The sequence below is a fragment of the Homo sapiens genome, chromosome 11, assembly GCF_000001405.40.
Source record: "Homo sapiens chromosome 11, GRCh38.p14 Primary Assembly".
In the NCBI taxonomy this organism is placed as follows: Eukaryota; Metazoa; Chordata; class Mammalia; order Primates; family Hominidae; genus Homo; species Homo sapiens.
In genome coordinates this window covers 26493175-26520082 of record NC_000011.10, presented here as the reverse complement: position 1 = coordinate 26520082, position 26908 = coordinate 26493175, and the positions used below count along the sequence as shown (strand labels likewise).

Sequence of the window (26908 nt, the reverse complement as noted above, 5' to 3'; positions counted from 1 at the left end):
ACAACAATTATTCCATCACTAAGAGTTCCTTGAAGTTTATTTGAAAAGGCAGAAATAAGGAAAAAGAGAAGAGGCCAAACGTGCTCTGACTTCCATTTTTTTTTAAATTAGTAAAATCCAACTGAGATGGTGGAAAGAGCAATATGATAAGTATTACACCATAGAATTGTGTTCCCATTGTCTCTATAAGACTTTTCCTGGATAGAGTACTGCAGAATGAACATGTGTTAAAGAAAGAAAAGCTATTTTTGAAACTATGAAAGTCAAATATTAGGGGTAAGGCAAACATTTGTTACCAATTGCAATAGACAAAGCAGTTGTGTTTCCCGAAAATTCACATGTTGAAATTCCAATACTTAATGGTTCTTGGAGGTGGGGCCTTTGGGAAGTATTTAGGTCATAAGAGTGGAATCCTCATGAATTGGAGGAGAGAGCAGAGAGCTAGCTAGCCCTCCTTCTACCATGTGAGGATACAACCCAAAAGAGGGCCCTCACCAGAGCCCAACCATGCTGCCACTTTGATCTCAGACTTCCAGCGTCCAGAACTGTGACAAGTAAATGTTTGTTGCTTAAGACATCCAGTATGTGGTAATTTGTTCTACTATCCCAAACCAATCAAGACACTGAGGTTGTATTTATAATTCACTATTCTATTAAATGAAAGTATAATCACATCTTAATAATAGGTGGCTGTGCCAGATCTAAGTAAAATAATGCCAACAACGGAAATAAAAAAATGGAACCAATCTTCTGGAATCATGGCAAATATCTGTTTTGTATGAAGTCTAGAGGAGGCAGGTGGAAGACATGCTCTCTCTTTGAGCATATTTTATACCATATTCATTCAGCCTGAACTGAACTTTATACTGATATGTACTGAAATGACATGCTTATGATAGTTGCTAAGGGCTTCCTCCTCTTTAATCTACAAGGAAATTAGTTTGTACATAAATTCAGTTATGATGCTTAGAAACAATGATGAATTCATAGGATGGGGCAGGATGAAGGATCCTGAAATTAGGATTAATTTATTAGATTTTTTCTTTAGCAATTTTGTCCTGATATTAGAAAACAGGTCATTTTCTTGTGTCATTCTTTTGCATCCTGTGTTTACATTAATGCAGTCAAATTAGAACTTGTGGAAAATATATACTTTTGTAAGAGTATAAAGAAAATAACTGAGAACCACAATCCCACTCATCAGAAGCAATCCTTTTTCATCTCTTATTATATTTCCTTCTAATTGCATTGCTATATATTTTACATGATGAAATCACCTTGTATGAATAATTGTATATGCTATATATTTTATTTAAAATTTTATATTTAATATTCCCCCAAAATCACTAAGAAATCTTTGTACCCATTCATTTTATAAACTATATTTCATTGCAAAGTTGTATTCTAATTTGCTTATATCCGCTAATAACATATTAAATATTTTATTTTTCACAATTATAAATTATACTTCAGTGAATATTTTTATACATGTTTCAACTATAATCATAAGATAGAAAGTGGAGTCTGAAAAGTTGTAAGGCTCACAGAAAATGTTTTCAAATTGAATTTCAGAATATTTTTACGAAGTTTGACTCCCACTATGAAAAAACAAAGGTGATTATTAACCATATCTATGCTAAATTTGAAGACTGCTACTTGTAAAATTATTTGAGAGTTTAAAATTTACTTCACTGTTTTTATTCTGCATGGTTTTGTATAACATGAATATGCACAGACCAGAGAATAAATTTGAGCAAAGAGCAAGTATTCCTGCCATTATCAGCATATTATTAATATTGTATATTATCATCTGTAATAAGTCCCAGTCAAGTATTTTAAAAGACTTTTTAGAAGGTTATAGCATGAAGATAGAAAAATTCCAGAACTCAAGAAATGTTGTTTAGCACAAATGCAAACTTACCTAGCTGTACTCTCAAAATTAGTTTATTAGGTGCTGAGGAATTGGAAAGAATATTATTTCCTTTATTTATCTTTTTTTAAATTTTATTCTTTTTTTGCCAAGATCCTTGAGGAACTATTTGCATATATTCTAAATATCAAGTCTATAGAGAATTTTTAAACCCTTAGCCAAGCATGAATATAAGCTAATTTAGGTGTTTAATTCTAATATTGTCAAGAGGATTCCTTAGTAGTTTCCAACACTTAATTTCTGATTTATGGGCAATGACTATGGTTGCATCTTTCGAGCCCTACGTGTTTTAAATGACTAAGAAGATGAGGCTCAATACCTCACATTTTACGTTGAATACTGTAGAGGCTTGTCACAATATTTGAGAATATCAGCACTTCTACCAGAGTTGGACTCTTTTATGCTAGCAGGTCTGAGAAATTTCTCCATATTTTTGAATTGCACTTAATTTTCACTTATATTCATTATCTAGAGGCTCTTACTTGGCATTCTGTTTGTGCTGAACCTTTTAAAACCATAGCAACTGAGGAAGCATATTAAGCTCCACATCAGTGTACATGTTCATGTCTTTAATATGAGTAAATACTTTGCATAGTAAGAGCATTGTTGAATTTTACTGTGAGAAATGATGGAGGAAAGTGACACATTCTGCATAAAACACAAGATACTCAATATAGGGAAACGGATGTCTATTTAATCTTTACTTGCCTAAAGGAAGGACTGAAAAATCTTTGAAAGAAGCAGTCCTCTTATTACCATTTATTTCTTGTTATTGAGGACAGAATTAAGAAACCTTCCTGGTTGCATTGACTTGAGAAATGATTCTTGCTAATGACTATACAGAGAAGAACAATTTACATACGAAGAAAATGCTATGCACTTATACTTTCTGCCTTCCACAAAACTAAAAAGAGTTCTGCCCACCCATATGAAATAAGGAGTGAGACTGATCTTGGGAATTGTTGTAAGTTAAAATTGAAAATAACTGTTTTACTCTCCCACTAGGCAGGTCCACCTTGAAATGACATAGTGTCCAGGAAATCAGAAAGTTTACCAAATTAGGCAAACAAATTAGGAAGAAAAAAAAACTGTCCAGAATAACTGAAATTTTGAAAGAAAAAGCATTTTCTCTGTAGAAGGGGTTGCATTTGTTGCTCTAAGGTGATGCAAAGATAGACTCATTTTAATATATATTGAGATAAAATAAAGTAAAATTTGAAAGTACCTGAAGGGCATCCTGATATTCAGCCTCTCTGCATACTTGCACAGCGTGTCCCATGGAATGTGAATTTTAATAAACATGATATCGGGGCTTGCAATAGCTGGCTGCAAATGATAGTAAGATAGGCAACATTATTTAGAATCAGAGCTGATGATATCATGCCACAGTTTGATTTGGGAATAAAGAACATTGTCCCCTTGACTATGCATGATCACTGACACTGATTTAAAAGAAATTTATATGGATAAAAAAAATCTTAATGAAGAAAGACCTTGATAAAAATGTAATAATGACATCGTGTAGAAGAAATAACCACCTATGTGCATTAGTGCATTTTCTTACATTGATGATTTTCAACCTGCAGAATCCCCAATCAGAACAATCAATCATGAGCCAATTAAAAATCTGAAGTTATTTTTGATGGGCTTTTTATCATGACCCCATTCCTGTTCAGAGGGGGAAGAAAACACTGCCAGTTACCACTAGTCATTTATTAACTAGTTCACTAATTTTTCTACCACATTTTACTGAGTACCTACTAGGTCCTCAAACTATGTGCTTGGTCCTGTGATAATACTGGAAAAAACTGGGTATAAATTGTAAAAGTCTGTTATCTCGTAGAGTCGTCATATTTGCTTTCTTTCTTTCATCTTTTCATCCAGTTTTACTTGTATCAACAAATAAGAACTAAAGTGTCTTTGACTAGACAAAAGGTTTTTAAGCAGAGTCAAGTATGCATAAGGATTATGTAAAGAGCTTTTACAAAATGGGGTACTGTGGTTTAATTCTTGGAAATTGCAGGATTATTTGCATATTTTGATCATACTGCTATACTCAGAGAATCTGATACCCTTTTGAATAAGAGAATCATCACGATACTTAGCTTTTGTTCAGTAGTCTAAAATAAGTAAATAAACAACTGACTACCTAGGCATCATACATCACTCATGTTCATATTCGACCCTGCTTTGAAAGAAAGCCAACACAGTTATTCCCTGAAGTTCCTACAATATCTGAGGTTCATAGAGCATGGAACAAGTTTATGTCCATTCTAACACTGAATTACACAGAGCTTATCCTTCATGTGATTATAGGAGCAAAACATCTGAAATAAAAGAACTGTTGTTTGCTTCCCTTTAGATGCACCCACCAGGTTAGACACAGCTGAGCTCCATTTGATTAACACTGTTCATTATATTTCCATTAGATGTAATTTATCAAGAAACATATGAATCTTAAAAGCTCAAGAGTAGGGTAGAATTATTGAATTTAATTTAAAATCATATATGTTTTAAAATTAAACTATAACATTTTCATATGCATATACTACTATAGCCCCAAATTCTAAGCAGGGCTAGTTTCATGGATTTGCCAGACGATATTTTATTTTTGTATTACCAATGTTTCTAAACAATACTTAGAGAACCAATGTCATTGGCCTAATATTCAAACCTAGAAGGCAGCATGGCTACCCTTTCCATAGAGTATTAGAAGCAAACAAGTGGGGGCTCATTCCATGATTAAAGTTTTGGTTTCTCATTAGAGGACTTCTAAGACACTTTAATATGCATGCATTTGCTAAAAAAATATCCAAGCAGGAGATAAAGTATGCTGAATTTCCAAACTTCTGGATCAAGGATTGATTTTTCTCAATAGCTTACTGAGACACTAGTATTTTGCAAATCAACATGGGAAAATAGCTTAAGATGCTTTCATGTCAGTGCAAATTCCAAAGGACTTTTCCTATTTAAAATACATTTGTTTCAAATTAAAGACAAAGGATTATTAAAATGAAAATTGACAATGCCAGAAGTAAACATAATATATCTCAAATATCTATAGGTCTTTGAATTCAGACCAACCAAGGTTACACATATTATCTATGCTTGGGAAAAATGTATATAATTTTTTTAAAGTGACTATTGATTCATTCAAATAACCATTTGTTTAAAAATATATCACCCAGCTGGAAATCTGTCACTGATCAGAGAAAAGAGAAGACCGTGACTTTTTTTCCATTCTCTTTTAGTGAATCTTCCAAATTTGGTGAAAAGGTTTTTGTGAAGGAATGATAAAGATGAGAAAAACTTTTTAAAACGTAAAGTGTAAGCATACATCTATTTGAATGACTCCTTCATCCAGGGCAAGTGAAAGACGTGTTAAGTTTTATTATACATTTTCCTGCTTTATGCTTACAAAAGTTCTTAGGTAAGATGATGACAAAGATCCTTCGTTTGAAATCATCGTGTTGGCTACCAGTGTTGCACCAACTTGCCTCTCACCAAGCATAGTTTGAATTTCCTCAATCTTTACTGCCTACTTGGAAGAAATCACATGCTATAAATGAAAAAGCATGGTATTTGGGATCACAAAGACTTAAGTACAAATTCCATCTCTACCATTTACTAGCTCTATGGCCTTAGAAAAATTATTTAACCCCTCTTATCTTCAGTTTTCTCATCTGGAAAATGAAGAAAATTATCTCTGCCTCACAGAGTGTGAATGTTATAAAAGATTGGTCACCTCATAAAGTGCCCATGCCTAATAAATTCTCCAGAAATGTTTTTTTCTCAGTTGACAGCATACCTCTCAAATCAGAAACTACCCAAAATGATGATGACTTACAAAGCTTGAATCTTTTTGTCTACTCAATTCATCTTTGGTAGAGCCTCTTCCTTGGCTCTGTAAACCTTCTGTATAGACCTTTGTGTTGCATAAGCATAAAGGCAGCATTAACCTATGATTTGGGAAGAACTCTGAAGTACAGTGACCTGAATCAAGGTTTAACTTGATGAGTTAAATGTTTTTCTCTGAACTGGGCATACATTTTCTTAAAAAAAAAAAACTCTTTCTGTAGTCTTTATAGTTTCTTTGGAATATTTGTCCTTTTCATCTTTATGTATTAAATTATTCTATGCCTATACTTTTACTTTTTGTTCCTGGGGAGATATGAGTTCTTATTCAGAGGTTATTCAAGGAGAGAGAAACTGAGACCCTGAAGATTACAGAAAACCTATATAGTCCTCATTTTCCCCAGAGGCTGGAGGAGTGACCTTCATGAAGATGAATGAGTCTAGACTCAAACAAAAACCAATCTATATCCAGACTGAGATGTTTGACATGTAGGACTATGTAAAACTGAGTAGCCATGACCTTGAGAACACACTGATCATTTGTATTCTTCCTAATGGTTCCCTGCAGGATTTGAAAGTAAAATTTTTATTGTGGAATGGATAGATCTTGGGACAAGAAATAATTTTTCAGGAGCTGGGCCTTATTCTGGTGTGAATGGAGGTCTCATTCGCTTTTAAACATCGTGGTTCCTGAAGTCTAGTCATGTTGGTTGCCAGAGTACATGAAAGAGTGACTAATATCTGATGAACGCTGGAAGAGATCTGGAAAGATTTAAGCTCCACAGCAGGAAAACTTGGGTCTCCTACTACCAGGTTGTTCCCGATTTGTTTTACTTTACCGTACAGATAGCCAGATTCTGATCCCTCTCTACCTCCTTCACAGCTATCACTCTGGTTTACATCATCGTCATCTTTGGTTGGGACTCCTGCAGTACTTTCAAGCAGCTTCTTTGCTCACACTCTTGTCCTCAGTGGCCTATCCTTCTCACAAGGGTCAGGATGACCTATTTAAATGTAAGTCGGGTCATGCCATTTCTTAGAACCTCATTTCATCCAGAGTGAAAGCCAAAGTTTCTTCAATGACTTACACAGCCTTTTATAATCTTACCTTCAATATCCCATACCTCCTCTGCTACTACCCTTTGTGTCACTCATTCCACTTCCATCATTTGATCACTTGCTAGTTCTTGTCGGTTCTTGCCTTATCTTTCTTATACCCTCTCTTTTTTTTTCTATAGTATTTTTACTTTCATTTGCTCTGTAAATGTCAAGAGAGAAGATTCTTTGTTTTGCTTATGTATCCCTAGCACCTAGTTCTGTGCTGGACACACAGTAGGCTTGCACTAAGCATTTATAAAATGGATGAATAAGTTAACCTATTTTGAGAACACATGTTATGTAATTTATATCTAAGCCAGTGTGATAGAGACAAGAAAGCAAATAAGCCTGGACTATTCTGGAAGAGGGTGCTGTGTCAGGATTCAAATTAGCATCATGAACAGCTTGCCTAGTACTGGTTATTAATTCATTACTCTCAACCTCTAGGATGTAAAATAATCTAATATACTCAAGTAAGGGGATGCTTTAGAAGGATGTTTCTGCATTACAATAACTACTATCAATGAGTAAAATGTCAAACTAAGTGCACACACATAATATTTCTCATTTTGTAAGTCTTAAAATGTATAGAGATTTTTATCAACCAACAGGAATAACCTTCTTTTATAACTTACTCAACTTAATTTCTCTCTTTCTATACCTCTACATAAAAAACAAAGCAGAAGAAAAGAAATGTAGTTTCATTTTTTTGCAGTTACTGGCCAGGGGGCTGGTGCGGGGATGATGCTGTCAGGGAGAAAGATTACCTTTTCCCCAGGAGTCAAAAACTGCCAATCTGGCACTATTCTGTTCAGCTCTGATGAAGGCAAGCTCCTCAGAGAACAAAACACCCACTGCCTTCACACTTCACATTATTATTTAATTATTCCACCCCAAATTCCCAAGAGAAAGGAGATTCACTCTTGAGAGAAGGGAAAACTTAAAAATTACGTTTTTACAAAGTCACTCTGCAAATTGTTAGCACAGGGTGGAAAGAACATAGGATAAGATAGCTCATAGCATTCAAGTCTAAGAGAAACACAAATTGCTGAAATGAACTGCATCTCTAATGCCACCCATGATCTCTGTGCATCCAGTCTTGTTCTTCAAATCTATGTTCTTTTCAGTAATCCAAATTTATTTTTTGAAAACGAATGTGATCATGATACTAACCTGCTTAAAATTATTTAATAACTTCCAATTTTTCTTAAGTTAATGATCAAAAGTCTTAAACTAACAAAAAAGAATGACTTAACTGCAGCCATTCTTTCCAACCTCATTTAGTACCCTGTTTTTTTCTGGTATTGAAAAATATTCCTTCCTCCCACCACCATCTTGATCTTTAATTGATCTATGCTGTGGTGGGATCTGGCATCAATAGTTTAAAAGATCACCACATGACTCTAATATACAGCCAGTATTGAAAACCATATCTAGCCCTTTTATTCACCTACATTAGCTACTATTCATTTTTCAAATCTCAATTCAAAGTTTATTTTTAAAATTTCCCTCCTTCCCTTTCTTCTACTCTCCCCTCACCCTCCAGACCATACCACTGCCCTTGTTGCAAGCCATTTAGCACCATTTACTTTCCTTTTCAGCCACTTATCACAGTTTCAAATGATAAAGGTTATCCTATTAAAGAATTTTAAGCATTGTATTAGTAAGTGTAGATTGAAAGTCACCCTGGGTCAGATCATCTTTCTTGTGCAGTCTCTGAAGTACTCTCTCAGTTGTGCAAGTATTAATCAAGTGGAAAGAGTATAAAAAATTTTTTTTTGTTTGTTTTCTTAATTTGCAGCACCTTCCCTTGCTTGCATAGGCAGAGTTTTTACAGAGGTTTGGGTAAAATTTCATAAGGCTTCTATGGCCTTTTCAGAGGGAAGATATAAAAATCTCCCAACTCGGCTTCAAAACTAATAATATCTGTTCTGGAAAACTGGGGTAGCTTTAACCTTTTCACTGTTAGGAAACTAAGTCAGAGGTACACAGTTGGGAGGACAGAGAAAGTCAAGACTGGTAACTTGTGTTCAACACAATGGTAGCAGTTTGCAGGGACGACTGGTTCCAACAACATGCAATTGAGGTTGAATACACCTCCTGATCATGCTGTCCTGGCAATTTATTTAACAGTAGGAAACAAATCCTAAGAATGTGAATGTGGACTAAAAGAACTGTAATTGTGGATGAGAACCCTCTCTGTTCAGGAATAAGAGTAGACAAATGGACACTGTCCTGCTGAGATTCAACCTAAACAAAGACACCATTTGGGAGTGATTTGAGAGTGAGAGCTCTAGAATAAATAGACTTCCCTTTAAAAGCGGAACAGGACCCTTTTTGGATGACTAACATCCAGTATTATTCTTGAGAAAAGTTTGGAGGAATAAGGAAGAGGAAGACTCAGAACTGAGAATCTGAGCTTTCTGGCAAGAAAACTAGGTAGAAGCTGAGAGCAATACCTGTTATGAATATACAGATTTCATGTCTGACTCCTATACTGACTGTAAATTTAGTCAAGGCAGTGAGTTTGTTAGTTTGTTACTTATCTTATATCTCAGCAGCTTGCTCAGTGCTAGCCAAAATAATGTGCTGAATGAATAAATAGTTTGAGATATGTGAGAAAAACAAATACCAGCATCATAATAAGATCTATGTATAAACTGCTCTGGGAGCAGATGAAGAGTGATTAATTCTATTTGTATGGAGGAGAAGTCACAAGGATATCAAAAGAATAAAAGTCTATCACAACACTGAGTTCATGAGATTTTTTTTTCAATAAGTACTTCTTTATTTAATTAGCCACCAGTGATTGGGTGTGGGCGGGAGGCGGAATATTCTGGGTTAAACTTCCTGGAAGATGAATAATAAAGAGACAACTAAAGGAGGCAACAGAAAACTGAAGTCAGAATTTTACTTGCTGGGCTCTGTAACTCTAAGTTGTGTGTGAGTAATTCCTTGTAAAGAGTCAAGTCATGATGTGTTTGTTATTTCATACACATTAAAGGATTTTAATAAACATAAATGGATTAGTTTTTCTTTTCTACTCTTTTTTTTTTTTTTTTTTTTTGAGATGGAGTCTCGCAATGTAGCCAGACTGGAGTGCAGTGGCATGATCTCGGCTCACTGCAAGCTCCATCTCCCGGGTTCAAGTGATTCTCCTGCCTCAGCCTCCAGAGTAGCTGGGACTACAGGAACGCGCCACCACGACCAGCTACTTTTTGTAAGAGATGGGTTTTCACCACGTTGGCCAGGATGATCTTGATCTTTTGACCTCATGATCCGGCCTCCTTGGCCTCCCAAAGTGCTGGGATTATAAGCGTGAGCCATGGCGCCAGGCCTAAATGGATTAGTTTTTCTAGGGCTACCCCAAACTACAGTTTAGTACTTCCTAATGTGTGTTCCTCAGAAAACTAATTCCAGGAGATGTTCTGTGGGGGTAAAGGGATTCCAATATTATATCTAAGTGCCTATTAACCCTCTGATGATGCTTATTAGCAAATTATCTAGATATTTCATCAAAAACAGTTTTTTTTTCCTTTACCTTGTTGCTCCTATTTTTTACAAAACTAGTTAAAACCCAATAGTAGCGCCGGGCGCAGGAGCTCACGCCTGTTATCCCAGTACTTTGGGGGGCTGAAGTGGGCAGATCACTTGAGGTCAGAAGTTCAAGACCAGCCTGGCCAACATGGTGAAACCCCGTCTCTACTAAAAATACAAAACTTAGGTGGGCACGGTGATCGGTTCCTGTAATTCCAGCTACTTGGGAGGCTGAGGCAGAATTGCTTGAGCCCGGGAGGCAGAGGTTGCATTAAGCCAAGATCGCGCCACTGCTCTCCAGCCTGGGCAACAGAGTGAGACTCAGTCTCACAGAAAAAAAAAGAAAAAAAGTAACTTAGGTTTAGGTGTCTCTGTAATAGTTAGTTAATTGATTTTCTTTTTCTCAGTAGCGGAACAGCTGGGTAAATCTCTAAGTTGTAATAATATGTATCTAGTAAAAAGCTGAGTTGGTTCTAAATGTAATGGCAATTTAAGATATCTGTAATATATTGCTAAATGACAAGAGTGAACAGCAGAATAATATATATATATATATAGAGAGAGAGAGATAGATGTGTGTATATATATGTATACGTACATATATATCATGGCTAATTTTGTGTAAAATTTTATATATTTGTATATATATAGAAAATTTACTGAGGGGCACCTAGCAAGATAAAATCAAGTTGTTAACAAGACCACCAAAGGAGAGAAGCGTATGATTTGAGAGACTGTAGATATTGACTTTGGCTTTTTATTTTGTACATTTCTATACTTTTAATTTTCTACCTTAAGGTTTTTTCTTTCTGTAATGCGATTAATACATGTTTTCTATAACTGTACAAGGTATAACTAAAATAGTGAGTTTTTTTTTAAATTTTCTCTGATACTAGGATTATGGAGGATACGCTTTTCCTTCTTTCTATTTTTTTTCTAGTGAGTCTTGCTACTTTTATTGTTTCACTACAAAAAATAAATTCTTCCAAGAACATTTTTTTAAAAACTCACAAAAGAAAAAGATTTGGGAAGAAAACCACTCATAGTTCCAGCACTAAAAAACAGACATTAATCGTTTGGCAAATTCTTTTCTTTCAAAATGTTATTTTCCTTTTCATAAAGTTTTCTACTTGACATAACTATAATCATTCCTTATTCAGTTTTTAAAATTGCAAAAATAGTCATGCCCTTTGAAAATACTTAAATTGTACAGAATTATATAGATTAAAAAGTGAATACATATTTAATAGGGCTATGTGCATGTATTTATTTAACATTTGTTAGAAAAAAACTATGTATTTTATAAAGTCATGTGATACATATTTTTCTTTCTAAACCATAAGTGATTATATCTGTTCCAACACATTTTATCACATAACTAATAATAGTAAAGCACCTACCTCCTTCTCCAACATCAAGCCTTCTGCTCTGAGGTTCTTTTCAAATGTGTTTCTTTTATCATATTGTATATTTGTCTTTCTATAAACCAAGATGTAATCAATTCTCTTTTTGCCATCTTTGAACAGAGGTCCACTGGATGCTATGTAATTCATGTCATTCTGCAAATAAAGCAATGATTGTTAATGGTGTGGGTTAGACAAGCATGTATGTTTTAGTTACAGTTACTGCCATTTGAACACTGGCAATACAATATCAAAAAATGTATTTTTAATATTCCTACCATGAGATATGGAAATAGAATTAAAGAGTGTTTACAATCTACTATAGGAGCCACATTAGCGAGTGATGTTCCAGGATATGAAATTAGGTGGTCTGATATCTGAACATGGGTTCTCTGGTGCTGGCATAAAAATGCATATGTTTTATTCAATAAGACCCATGAAAATGATATATCATATAACAACAAATAAAATGATTACTTATTTACTATTTTATTTCATCATAAAATAATGCTAACATATGTTGAGTATTTACTAAATATCATGACCAGACATAAGTGCTTTCAATATTTTATCCTATATACTACTCATTACATGCATTTCAAAGATAAAGACACTAAGGCTTAGAGAACATAAATACTAAAAACTCAAACCAATTTTATTTCTTGTGTTACATAGTACTCAATCCAGGCATTATTTTCCTAAATGTATATTTAGTAATACTGAAACCAAAAAATAATCCCTAAGTTGTTTGCTCTGGGAAATACTTGTTCCTAGAATATATGACTGCAAACCAACTAGAACAGCTTACTTTTCAAAACAAACTGCTTGCTCAGCAAGACTGCTCTAGGGCCTTCACTCTGTTGTATCCACCAACCTAAGCTATTTTTAATGGTCTCTGCCCAATTTTCAACCAAATTCCTGCCTTATAAGACCTACTGATTACCCAGTCCAGGCCATGGGAATCCTTTGAAAACTGTTGCCTAACTTCATTCTTCTAAAACACTACTTAGACTATCCGTGTGGTATTCTTATTTGCTGTAAGGAATTTTAATAAATCAGCTTTATTGATCAACACATTTTCCTCATGGTCCTCTTAGGGGGGCTTTTCCAGTACATTGCCCAAGATCAATGAGGAGCCAGGACTTGAACCCAATTTCTTCTGCCTCCAAGTTCATGTTCATAACTATTATCTACCCCATCCTTCTTTCGCCACTTTCCTTCAAACTATTTGGACATCTGTACCAACTCTCTATTTCATATTTCCTATACAGGCATTCTTGAGATTCAAAATGCTTTCCAATGTCTGGGGAGATATTAGATAATTTCAGACAAAAGCATTTCAGACTGCTTTGGAGGACTCTGACTGGGGCAGATAGGCAGCTCCAGGTGAAAGAAGTGAGGACCAGAGCAACCTGATGTTTAAGGAGATAAAGGCCAACGAGTCATTCAAGAAACAGAAAGAATATCCAAGAAAGAGTCACCCTACAGCAACAGGTTAGGTTGCCTGAGGGGCTTCTAGTTGGCTGTAGTTCTGCAGAGAGATTAAGTTCAAGTGCATAAATTTATAGTAGTAGAGACTTCCAAGTTCAAAAACAAGAAAGCTTTACACAGTCTTTTCTTCAATGAATAAAAAAGCTCTGAGATTTCCAGGATTAACTTGGAATTCTGGCAGATTTCACAGGATCTGGAAAGGATTATAAAGTGACTAAGTGACTAACACCAGTGAAGCCACCAGGGCCTTGTAGTTCCATAACATAGTAATAATGACAATAGTAGCTATCACTTATCAAATACTTACTATGTACTATGCATTGTGCCAAGTGCTTCATAAGGTTATTTAATTGTCATAACTCATGAAGGTAAATATTGACAAGAGTACATAGAAGCCAAAGAGGTTAAGTGACATACAGATATCACAGAAAAGAAAATAATGAAGCCAGCATTTTGACCAAGTTGATACCTTAGCTGGTGGTCCTGACCACTATATTTAAAAAGATAAGGAGCCATATACAAATAAACACTCCTAGGAATGAGGCTTGAGTAGTTTAAAAAGGGTAACAAAAAAGGCCATTTCCAGCTTTTACGTGAGAGAAGTACTTTTAGGTGAGGGAATTTTTTTGCCACAGAAGGCACAGTTAAATTCAGATTTTAGAGGGCGTTTGCCTCCAACACTTCAGACACTTTTTTTTAACAATGTCACTAATGACATATTATTGCTGTATCCAGTTATCAATTTGCTGTCTTTTTTTTTTTTTTTTTTTTTTTTTGAGACAGAGTCTCGCTCTGTAGCCCAGGCTGGAGTGCAGTGGCGCGGTCTCGGCTCACTGCAAGCTCCGCCTCCGGGATTCACGCCATTCTCCTGCCTCAACTCAGCCTCCAGAGTAGCTGGGACTACAGTACAGGCGCCCGCCACCACGCCCAGCTACTATTTTTTTTATTTTTTGGATTTTTAGTAGACATGAGGTCTCACCATGTTAGCCAGGACGGTCTCGATCTCCTGGCCTCGTGATCCGCCCGCCTTGGCCTCCCAAAGTGCTAGGATCACAGGTGTGAGCCACTGCGCCCGGCCAATTTGCTGTCTTAAATTTATCTTCCTGCAGTGGAATCACTCTCACCTACTTGGTACAACTTTTTCCTTTGACTCCCAGTATATCTAATGTGTCTGGATTTTCTCCTAGTTAAGTGGTCACTCGTTCTCTCTTCCTCTGATTTGTTAATTAACTATTCACTGGTTATCTTGCCTTTATTCCCCCTATATACTCCCTCCTTGTGATTTCTTCTAAGCTCATGGCTTTAAATAACCATCTATATGTTGACCACTACATAATAAATATTCACAGGCTTGTATATCCAACTGCCTTCTTGATTTCTTCACTTGGATGTCTAATGAACATCTCAAAGTTAATTGTCCAAAATGAAATTGTTTATCTTCTCCAAACAGGTACTTCCCACAACCTTCTTTATTCCGGTTGATTGCAACTCTGTCCCTTCAATTGCTAACACCAAACATTTTGAATCGTCTTTTTTTTTCTAGCTCTTTTTCTTACCCATCAAACATTCAAATCATCAAGAAAATCTTTCAAAATATATTTAAAATCTGACCACTTTCTAACACCTTCATTACTTCCACCATTACTACCACTCTGGTCTAAACCATAGTAATCTCTATTGGATTATTGCAGTAGCCAGGCTTGTCTCTTTGCTTCTACCTTTTCTCTTCTTTTTTTTTTTTTTTTTTTTTTTTTTTTGAGGTGGAGTCTCGCTCTGTCGCCTAGGCTGGAGTGCAGTGGCGTGATCTCCACTCACTGCAAGCTCCGCCTCCAGGGTTCACGCCATTCTCCTGCCTCAGCCTCCCGAGTAGCTCGGACTACAGGCGCCCGCCACCACGCCCGGCTAATTTTTTTGTATCTTTAGTACAGATGGGGTTTCACCATGGTCTCGATCTCCTGACTTTGTGATCTGCCCGCCTTGGCCTCCCAAAGTGCTGGGATTACAGGCGTGAGCCACCGCGCCCGGCGGGCTTCTACCTTTTCTCTTCTATAGTTTGTTCTCAACATGACAGCCGAGTTATCCCAATGATTCTCGACATTATAGATGAGATAATGTAACTCCTCTCCTCTAGACCCTCCAGTTGCTCTCCAAGTTACTCCTCACTCTTGATCCCACTTCCCCTGATATCTTTTTTTCTTAGCATCTGCTACCTTCTAATACATAATATAGTGCTAGCTAATTTATTCATTAATTATCTTTTGTTTGCTCACAGTCTTATTCTACAAGGATATAAAGTTTACGAAGGTAAGAAATTTTTTAACTTTTTGGTTTACATAGTATTTTAAACATCTAGTCCACAGCCAGACACATTGTAGGCATCAATAAATATTTATAGAAAGAAGGAAAGAAGAAAGAAGAGAAGGAAGAAAGGAAGAGAATACGCATAGTTCTATGTATTCAGATAGGGTTAACCTCAAGAATACTGGCCTAAAAAAAATCATGTGGTCATTTGTCATTCTCTCCCTTCTGACATTTATAATAGAACAAATTATAATAGGCTAAAATGAAGAAACACACAATTATAGTAGCACCGCAATTAGTTACAATTTGGCTTGCTTTTTTGCTTTATATCTGTGACTCACTGCTTACAGGCATCTCCATGCTGATCTAAGAAAAGATTAGGTGAAAATAAAATAAAACACAAATTTTCTTCCACGTTTTCTTAAAGTATACTACTCTCCCAGTGCGGTAAACGGAATCAACTGAGTCTCATAGCATTGGTAACATATTTAATCCCAGGTGAAGGCAAATGTTGTTCAATGAGAAGACCTAGAAATCAAGAGACTGGTTTGTGGAAAAAAATATTAGAAAGATAAAAAGGTTTTTAAAAGTATTCTATATGCTTTTCATATTTTAAAAGCAATATGGACTGAAAATGGAACGCTAACAATTATTATCCATTACTCTGATTCTAAGCTAAGTAAATGCTAAACTCTCCCAGAAAGACAGCTATCTGTTTTAAAAATCCACATCTTTATAAAAAGAAGTAACCTATTATACCCAAATTTTGTCTCTCAGTGAGTAAATAAGTTCACAAACTTACTAAATGAATTTTTAATTATTATATAAATTCTAAATGTTTAATGATGAGTTTTTACCAGTTTTAACAGACACGATAAAAAGTAGATACCAAAATGTCAATAGAGAAGCATAGCAAAATTTGGAAACCTCTTCTGAATTACGTAGCAAGAACTCAGTACAGGTTTTATATCATTTTAAGGTTAATAGTGGTATACTTTATTTTAATATATATGACAGCCATTCACAAATATGTTAATTAACCCATGTTCAAACCTATTGCTTTAAAACAGAATTAACTGAAAACTGATTACCTGTGTCATTACATCTAGATAAAAAGAATACAGCTTCTTGAATTGTTTGGTATAATAACAGTTGTCCAAACATAAAATCATGATTCATTTCATGAGTTATCTGAAAGAGTGAAATGCTTTCCAATTACAATGTGGAGTGCATTTGATTTAGAGTTTTTTCATGTTTATTGTTTCTAGGGGACAGAATAAAATTCGCTTTTTCTCAGAGAGGGTGGGATGCAGTTCATTCATCAGGTATCTACCTAATCTTTAAACAGTTTGAAAATAACTAAATCATTAATGTGTTTGCAAACCATGAAGCTCAGATACTTTCAGAAAAGCTGATCTTTCTAAAAATTATCTCAAGAATATGCAAGTTATGGCTTATGTTGAGTAGGAACACTTTGCAAATATTTTAGCCCATTTGCAAAATAGTGGTAGAGATTTGCCCATTTGCACAAGGAACCTGTTTTAGGGTACTCTTTAAATAAGATTAGAGCAGTAACTGCTTGTCTTGGTGAAGGTGACAGGCTTTTTTTTTTTTTTTTCCCTGAATGTTTATTCTTCTCAATCTAACAAGCATCATTTAACACCTGTGTGCTAAACTGTAGGGCTAAAGAAAATAAGACATTGAAAACTTTCAGGGATTTTATCATATACTTGCAGTTATAGGCATGTAAACATTGCATTACAATGCTCTATTTTGCGCATTAATAGAGTTATGAGCTATAAAGACATGAAGAATGTCAGAGTGTATCCAGAAGAAGCCTGATAGGTACCAACAGACACGGAAGGTTATATAATCTTTGTGAATTTACCACAGCCAGTCTTTATCCAGCACATATAAAATTAGATCATGTCATTAATCAGTAGGTGATTGCCAGTTATCTGTTAACCATACTTGTGAGTTAGTAAAATGTAGTATGACACACTGGTTAAGGTGTTGAGAACTGTATTCAGACATACTTGGAATCTAATTTACTGCCTTCTTAGGCATTTAACTTCACTACTTAGCCTAAATTCTACAGCTTTTAAATGAAGATAACAATGTTGCCAACATTGTAGAATTATTATTATGGCTAAATGAGACAGTGCAAGCAGAACAGTCGCAACACTGATTCATTTCAGGAGATCAGAAAAATGTTGGCTATTTTAACTAAAAAAAATCAGGTAAAACTATATAATGTATTCATTTACATTGCGATTTTACTTGTTTTCCAATAATCCAAATTAACCCTTTTACTTTCTGGAAAATTATCTTTCTCAGGACAAAGACAGTTGGAAACAGATAAGTAATGCAAATGGCATTGATGTGAATATGGAACCATAGCAAAGGAAAGTAGAAGTCCTTTACGTATAATTTTGAAATATAATTCACTACAAAACACAAAGTGCAGTAAAAGAATTCATAGCTTAATGAGTTGTTACAAGATAAACACCTACATAACCATTACCCAAGTTAAGAAAGAGAACCTCACCAACTCCTGAAAAAGCCTTCTTTATACCACCCTCTCACATGGTTATCCAACTGTTCCAGCACCCTATTGTAAAAAGAACTCTTTCCTCATTGCTCTGTGGTCCTGTTTTTTGTCCTAAATCTAGTCTCTGTATGTGTGAATACTGAATATTATAAAGATGTTTTCCATTCGACTTACATTTGTGAAATGGTCATAGTTCAGAAGAGGTCATAGTTCTGCCTCAGCTTGCCGATCTTGACCTGATGTGGAGCTTGTTGGGTAAAGGCCCTGATCCAATTTATGGTGTCCTGCAAGTCTTCATGTAGCATGCATGGCTCTGTACAAGTAGAATATTCTTGATTACTGATTCCTGGCCTATGCTTAAAATGTTGTTTTGCCATGCTCTGTAACATGGCAAAACAAGGATGTAACAAGGATGACACTCTTTCCCAGTGTGGATGGCTCTCAGATGCTGCCAGTATCTGCTCCCACCCACAGTACTCCTTTTCTCTACAGTTTTTGTATTCAGAACCAATGTAACCAAATATTGCTATACCCATTTAGTAGGTATTTTTATTTTTTATTGGATTTAAAGAATAATAGGCACAGCTGAGGCAGGACACAGGAAGCAGGGCGTGACTCTGGCCTGCTCAGAAGACTGCCCAAGGGCAGTAGGTGGTTAATTTCCTTGGTTATGTTGCCTCTGCAGTCCAATGTTAAAGGCAGACAATGAATCAGGTTAGTCCAACTCTCCTCCATAATTTGGGTGGCCATCAGGTGGGTTTCAGCTCATAAGGCCAAGTATCTGTGTTCTAGGTTTGTTTTTCTTAATCCTATCCTACTGAATCTGTTAATAATAGGAATGTTTTTCATTACTTTCTGGTGGTGGAATTTATTTTTTACTTTCTGTATCCTTTTATGGCAATTTTTAATGTTAAATTAAAAGATGGAAGTCTAGACACTGGTAGCCTGATGTTATGGTTTACCTAGTAGTTCTAGATTTACACTCCTAAATTAGAGAAAAATCCAAAGCCCTTGGTATGTAATTAAAACTTATTTTACAGCTACAACTGTTTCCTCCTAATAGCTCTTGTTACAGACCCTACTTATTATAAAGAGCAAAACCGGGTGTTTTTCTTTTTTTGGTGGTTTTTTTTTTCTGCAAAATATACCATAAAGCAAGTGAAAGTGTAAACCACAGAATGGGAAAAGTATTCAGAAACCAAACATCTGATAAGAAACTTGTTTCCTTAATATGTAAACAACTCTTATAACTCAACAATAAAAACACAAATAAGCCAATTAAAAATGGATGAATGATTTGAATAGATATTTCTCCAAAGAAAATATAGAAATGACCAACAAGCACATTCAAAGATTCTTAACATAATTATAGTTATTAGAGAAACACAAATCAAAATCACAGTGAGACACCATTTTTCACCATCTATGAAGGCTATAATGAAAAAGACAAAAAATAAGTATTGACGAGGATATGGAGAAATTCACCCTGTTCATCTCTGATGGGGATGCAAAGCAGTGCAGAATCTTTGGAAAACAGTTTGGCAATTTCTTATAGTATTAAACATAAAGTTACAACACTATCAGTTTCACTCCTAGGTATATATCCAAGAGAAACAAAAACAATGCATCTACACAAAAACTTGCACACCAATTTTCATAAAAACATTATTCATAATAGTAAAAAAAAGAAGAAAATCAAAAAGCCTATCAGCTTAATACATAAATAATGTGGCACATATATCTATCCAATAAAATATTTGGCAATAGAAAGAAATGAAATGTTAACACATGCTACAACATAGGTCTACTTTGAAAATGTTACTAAATGAAAGAACCCACTCACACACATACACAATTATATAATTCCATCCATATAAAACTGAATAGTAGGTAAATACATAGAGATGAAAAATAGATTAATCAATTCCTAGGGCTGAGGGAGGAGTGGGTAGAATGGAGAATAATTCCTAACAGGTACAGGGTTTCTTTCTAGGGAATCAAAATGTTTTAAAATTAGATTGTGGGGATGGTTGCACAATCCTATGAATATATTAAAAATATTGAATCAAATACTTTAAATGGGTGATTAATTGTATAGCATGTAAATTTTATATCAATAAAGCTGCTAAACGTAATTACAAATGCATTTTTTGATTGTAAAATGCATGAGACTATATCTTACAGAAGCTAACATAGGAATTTACAGTTCATAAATATTTCTTAAACAGGACATATGGTATTCATGCAGGAATAGGCAACATAAAAATCGAAATAAAACAATATAGAAATAGAAACAGAATAGAAAGATACCAGTATGTATATGATTGATATGGAATTACAAATCCATAAAATTTTCATGGATATAGTGGACTACTCAATTAGAGACACTAAAAAAATAAGTTAATTTAATGGAAATAAACAGACCCTTAACTTTCAATTTACAATAAGAAAACAAAATGAAAGGATTAAAGATTTAAGTGAGAAAAGTAAAATTAAAAAATAATTTTTAGAATAAACTATGAGAGCATTTTATAATATTTTTGGTAGGAAATTTATGTTTGCTTTTAATAAATAAAAAGCATCAGCACCAGTTATAAAAAAAAAGCTGGTACATGCAATTACATTCAAATAAAAGCTTTGTAAATTTAAAAGATATCATAAAGATTGTGAAAAGGTAAGTTACAACTAGAATATATTTTTATGAATACAACCAATAAATTATTAAGCTTCAGGTTGTATAAATAACTGCGAAATTCGTAAGAAAAGGCAAATAATCCAATGGAAAAATGTCATGAGATATAAACAAGTATTTAATAAAAGAAGAAATGTGACATTATCTGAAAAAGCAGAAGGCTGAAAACAAATAAAATAGTCCATCAACTGGAAAGTGAAAACTAAATTGTGGTCAAACAGTTAATGTCACTTGTTTTGTAGTCATGCAATAGAATATGACAGTACAAATGTATCTGCTCCTACATCCATCGAAGGGATGCTGTTGATCTTTTGTAAAAGCAATGTCTGTTACATTTTTTCAAAGCTTAAAGATATAAAAATGATCTTCAATATTGTTTAAAGATTATTTATACTTTTACTATATAACTTATACAGTAAAAGTTCAAAAATATTCATAGGAAAGCTAATCATCAAAAGCAGAATACTAGTTCGTTCTGTTGAGACTAATTGAGAGAAAAGATCAGGGAATATTATACAGAAGTCTCAATTTTGGCTGTAATAATTTATTCTAAACCAAATAAGGCAAGCAATAGAGATCCTGTAAAGCTCAATGTTGGATATAACTTGTTCCAGCTCAATATGATCTTATAATATGGTTTTTGATATGCATAATAATTATATTATTATTATTAATTTTAATTATTAATAATTATTGACTATCATTGATAATAACAAATATATGACTATATTCATAATAACAATTTAAAAGACCAGCATAATCTATGAATTTGGGAGTAAATAATGTGGGATTCTATATTAGTGTTAAAATCTTACTTATAACAAGTCTGTTTTCTCACCTGTATAATATAATAGGAATAATAATAGCCTTGCGTGACTATTTTAAGAATTATGTGAGTTGAACACTCTGTGAATCATAAAATGGTATACACCCTATAGTTATTATAACTAAAGACCTTCAAACGGTAAAGTCCAATTTTAATCATAATCCCTAAACAATACATTCTCTTCAGTCAATTACAGTTGTATCTACATAATCATTTACAAAATTAAAATATGATTCACATATGCTTATTAGAGATATTAAATTGAACTGGTGATTCTGAAGGGATTCCATGAGGTCTAAAAGACATCATCAGGAAAGAGTGATCACCTCAGAGTACATATGTTGAGATGTGAACACATTCAAGTCCCATAAAGTCAGCTGGCAAAGACAACTTTCTACACAAACTCTACTTAAACCCAATCTGTAGTTATTCTGCACTTCTGCCAATGATCACATGGAAATACAAAAGAAAAGACTTTAGAATTTACTGATAGCTTGAGAATGAAAATAATGAGAATAAAATTTGATCTTATATGCTAAAAGATCAAGTTTTAAATACAAAATAAAATCAAATACCATTTTATTGTAAAGGAATTTGGGGAGTAAAATTTTATAGAAAGTTTGAAAAAATCATGAACATGATTTCAATGCATTGCTTGCTATCATAAATGCCACACTTTCCCTTGAGGAGCTCCCAAAACAAAACAAACAAGAGTTTTCATTGCAAAGAGCCACTTGATGATTTCCAACATGTATTTAGAAAACTCCTGTAAAATATGAGTAACCTCACAGACCCAGTGAAAATATTCCTAAGATACTAGTGCATTTCTATTTCTGGTTATTTGGATCAATCTTTCCCATGAAATCAAATAAAAATTACACAAAGAAAAACTTTTTACAACATCGGTCTGGTGTAAGATAGTATCTCATTGTGGTTGGTGAAAATGTAAATTAGTACAACCTCTATCAAAAACAGCATGGAATTTTCTTAAAGAACTAATTGACCTAGCAATGCCACTGCTGAGTAACTACCCAATAGAAAAGAAACCATTATATCAAAAAAAGTACATTTGTATATTTATAAGAGCACTATTCACAATAGCAAAGATGTGAAATCAACCTATATATATTTCTGTGTGTGTCTGTATCTATCTACACACATATATATACATACTTCTGTGAGTGTCTGTATATATACATGTATATACATGTTTCAATGTTTGATTTTATAGATTTGTGTGTATGTCTGTATACATATTTGTATATACATATATACGTGTATACATATATACACACACAGAAATATATATAGGTTTGTGTGTCTGTGTATATATATAGAGAGAGAAAATGTAGTGTGTGTGTGTGTGTGTGTGTCTGTATATATGTGTGTGTGTCTGTGTGTGTATATATATATATATATATATACACACAACATTTTCTCTTTACAGTCATCTGTGATGAATGCTTAGGTTGATTTTATATATAAATCTACAGACACATACACACACACCATGGAATGCTACTCAGCCAGAAAAAAAGGGATAAAAGCAAGTCTTTTACATCAACATGGATGGAACTGGAGTCCATTACCTTAAGTGAAATGACTCAGAAACAGAAAGTCAAATACTGCATGTTCTCACTTATAAGTGGGAGCTAAATTATATGTACACACGAATATAGAGAATGGAATAATAGACATTTGAGGCTTGGAGAGTGAGGGGAGTGAGGGATGAGAAATTACCTAATAGGTACGATGTACACTATTTGGGTGATGGTTACACTAAAAGCCCAGACTTCACTACTACATAATATATCAATGTAACAAATCTGCATTTGTATTCCTAAATCTATAAAAACAAACAAACCAACACTGAAGAGTTCACAAGACAGTGAGGAATCACTAAAGTTCAAGACAAAGTGGAAATCAGAAATCAAGAGCTAAGCTGCATCCCTGAGCACTTGGGTCCCTATTACCTCCAAGGACATCTGCAGATCCTGCAAATGTGGACTTTTTATTAGCACTTTTTTGTGTCCTAGGTGCCAGGGATACACTGGTGAACGAGTCAGACAGCCCAGTGTGCATCAGATATTTTTAGGACACCTCAGTAGTAAGTGTTCTTGAAATATTAAGATACTCCCTTCATTTGGCTCTGGACTTGTAACAGATGAAATGTAGGCAGGTGCCTGAAAAGAAGGAAAAGCTCAACACAGAGAGGTCAAATTATGCAAGGGCAGGTTGAATTTATTTGCATGCTTGCAAATGCAAAAATCAAAATATCAAGTCAAAACAGAATGGGAAAAAAAATCTCTGAAACAGGGGAAATAGCCCCAGAATATTCATTACCTTGGTCAAAGCCTACTATTTTCACTTGAATAAACTTAACTTGAAATGTCAGACCTCTATATCAAAGAATCAAAATTTCTGGCACTGAGTAACTGCTTAGTATCATCATCAGTGTCCTTGGCCATACACATGGAAATTAGGAAAATTCACATGTGCTCCAAAGCAGACAATTCCAAACTATTAATTGTTCTCCATTAGTCATGTATGTGGAGAAGGCAAATAATATAATCTCCCATAACCTTCACACCAAGATGGATTTGATCTGATGATAAATGTATTGGCTTCCACAGAAAAGATGAGCCCTAGGCTGTGTTCCTTACGTTTGCAGGAAATTACTTTCCATGACCCAGAAGACCTATGTTCTCCTTTCCTTTCCTCTAAAATCTCTATCAACAAGACAAGAATGTCCTGAGACTTAGGAAGAGGAAGAAGGATTATCAAACAACTATATTTGCTCATGTCATAAATGAGATGACCCTATCATGTTGGCTACAAATCATCTACTCAGAGTACAAATGAATAAAGTCATGTTAGAATCTTTGGAAAGCTGGCATGGAAAACATATCATAAAATATTCATGCCTATTTTTCCATGAGCTTAGCTCTTTCCAGTACAGGAGTTACTCTTGCTGTTAAAAGTTAGATTTTGGCCAGGTGCCATGGCTCATGCCTGTAATACCAGCAATTTGAGGGGCTGAGGCAGGAGATCTCATGAGCCCAGGAGTTCGAGACAAGCCTGGGCAACACAGAGAAACCCTATCTCTACAGAAAAAAAAAAAAAAAAAAATCAGCCAGCCGTGGTGGCACGTCTGTATTCCCAGCTACTCAGGAGGCTGAGGTGGGAGGATCACTTGAGCCCAGGAGTTCAAAGCTGCAGTGAGCTGTGTTTGTGCCACTGTACTCCAGCCTGGATGACAAAGCAAGACCCTGTCTCAAATAAATAAATAAATAAATAAATAAATAAATAAATAAATAAATAAATGTAGATATTTATAAAAGATAAACTCTTTTAACCTATGGGTATCATTTAAGATTATTTATGGCTCCAGCTATTTCCATTTTTATAGGCTTCTTTGAAGTGGATGGCTTAATTTCTGGTAGTGTTGAAGGACAGGTCAAGAAAAAATCAGTGGATTATAACCCTTCTCTAACCCTACTCTGATAATAGGCAATATCTGGAGAAAACCACACAGACATACATATTCAAATCATGCGTACAATTTCAGGGACTTCATAGATCTCCTGGAGCTCACGTGTGTCCTCCCTTAGAGGTCCTTGGGTTCCATGCTAGGAACTTATGGGTCAGGCAGTAGCTTAAAATCCCTTCCGTTCTAGGAGCCCCTGTTTTTGCAAACAAAGCTCCCCTTGGCAAGCCTAGGCAGAAAGAAGTTGAATTTCTTACATGAAATCTAAGCACTTTGAAATTCCTATAGCAAACTGACTGTGAAGCCATGTGAATTTTTAAGAAAAATGGGCATTAGTGAAGGTACTCAGCATTTCCTCTAAGGTAAGTGGAAGCATTCATATTTCTTTAATTTTGTGGGGACAATATGAGGTGTAGTTGAAATACCTGAGGTGAAGACTCACTTCTACTTCCTATCTCACGTTACTGTGCACATATAAAGTTTCAGTATCTTTACAAAAAGATAATAATATGGACTATGCATTTCCTGACAAAATTGTGAAGATGGTGACATATGTAAAATAGCTAGCAAGAGTGCCAGACTTCTTAGGTGCTAGCTGAATGACAACCATCATCTGGCAAGTGATTAAGCAAGATACAGCATGGCATTCTTTCTCAAATTTTAATTATATATATATACACACACATATATATGAATATATATTTATATATGTAAATGTATATATATTTTACAAAACTACAGATCACCTCTTTAATATTGTTTCTTTAGATTATACTATTTCTGCAAAAATAGACTTTGCCCAAATTTTAATCTAAAAAAATAACAAGTTTAAGATGCTGGTTATGCCTTTTGTAATACACATTAAAATGAAATCACAGAAAAAGTTGTTACTGAGCATCATAAAAATTATTTTGAAAACTATCCTTTTACAAACATAGCAAGCCACTAACATCTTAGCTTAAATTAAACCTAATCTAGGTTTATTTAGTATTTGCCTTGGCAAATTCCAGGCTTGAAAGAAGGTATTTAGAGTTTTCACGGTGGAAAGAGAAGAAGGAAATCCTCAGAGGGTGTCAGGTGGCAGTCCCTAGGGCATCTGGGGTCCAGCCAGTGAATGGCAGTCCCTGAGGGCTGCAAACAAGAAGGAGGAGGAGAAAGGAAGGCCAAGTTAGAAGCTGCATTAATTTTTAAAGACTGGTGTCACTTTCTCAGGTCCAGAACTGGACTAGCCTGTGACATTCCTAGCATGTAAGAGCTGCATCTCTATTTAATGACTTCAGTATTCTAAAGGTGGCAAAAAGTCATATATAATTCATCATTTGAATAGAAATAAAAACATAAGGAAGGAGTGGTTAGGGCATTAGTTCAGAAAACAGAAAATCTAGCTCTCTGCTGCTGATGGACTGATGTGCATCTTTTATAATGCACCCTTATTTGGAGGCCAAACACAAGGCCGTAATTCTGTGAAGGGTTTGGAAGGTCATTAAAACTATGCTTATCTTTTAGCCAATATTGGCCCTGGAACTGTCCACAGCAGTCCTTTCCAGCATGCCCCTGTATATACAATCACACAATATATCAATAAAGAGGGATGGAAACACATCACATCTCACGAAATCCAGATTATTAAAACTCAGAGGTATAATCTTTATTCACTTAAAAAGTAAACTCTAAAAAACACACACCTAATGTACTTAACACTACTTTAGGCTATCCATTGAAGGGACAAGAGGCATA

The 26908-nt window shown here is 34.7% G+C and overlaps 1 protein-coding gene across 5 annotated transcripts in view; it reads right to left on the bottom strand.

Annotated features, from left to right (window-relative positions):
• ANO3 (anoctamin 3) overlaps window positions 1-26908 on the bottom strand; it is a 474482-nt gene that overhangs the window by 143207 nt on the left and 304367 nt on the right. For 4 of the 5 annotated variants that reach the window (NM_001313726.2, NM_031418.4, XM_047427399.1 and 1 more), the window contains 2 exons: window positions 11821-11979; window positions 3156-3256 (listed from right to left, as the gene is read on the bottom strand). In NM_001313726.2, coding sequence (NP_001300655.1) covers window positions 3156-3256; window positions 11821-11979 — 260 coding nt within the window. Of the gene's footprint in view, window positions 1-3155; window positions 3257-11820; window positions 11980-18340; window positions 18480-26908 lie in introns of all 5 variants that reach the window. The other variant, XM_017018118.3, reaches the window with a different exon arrangement.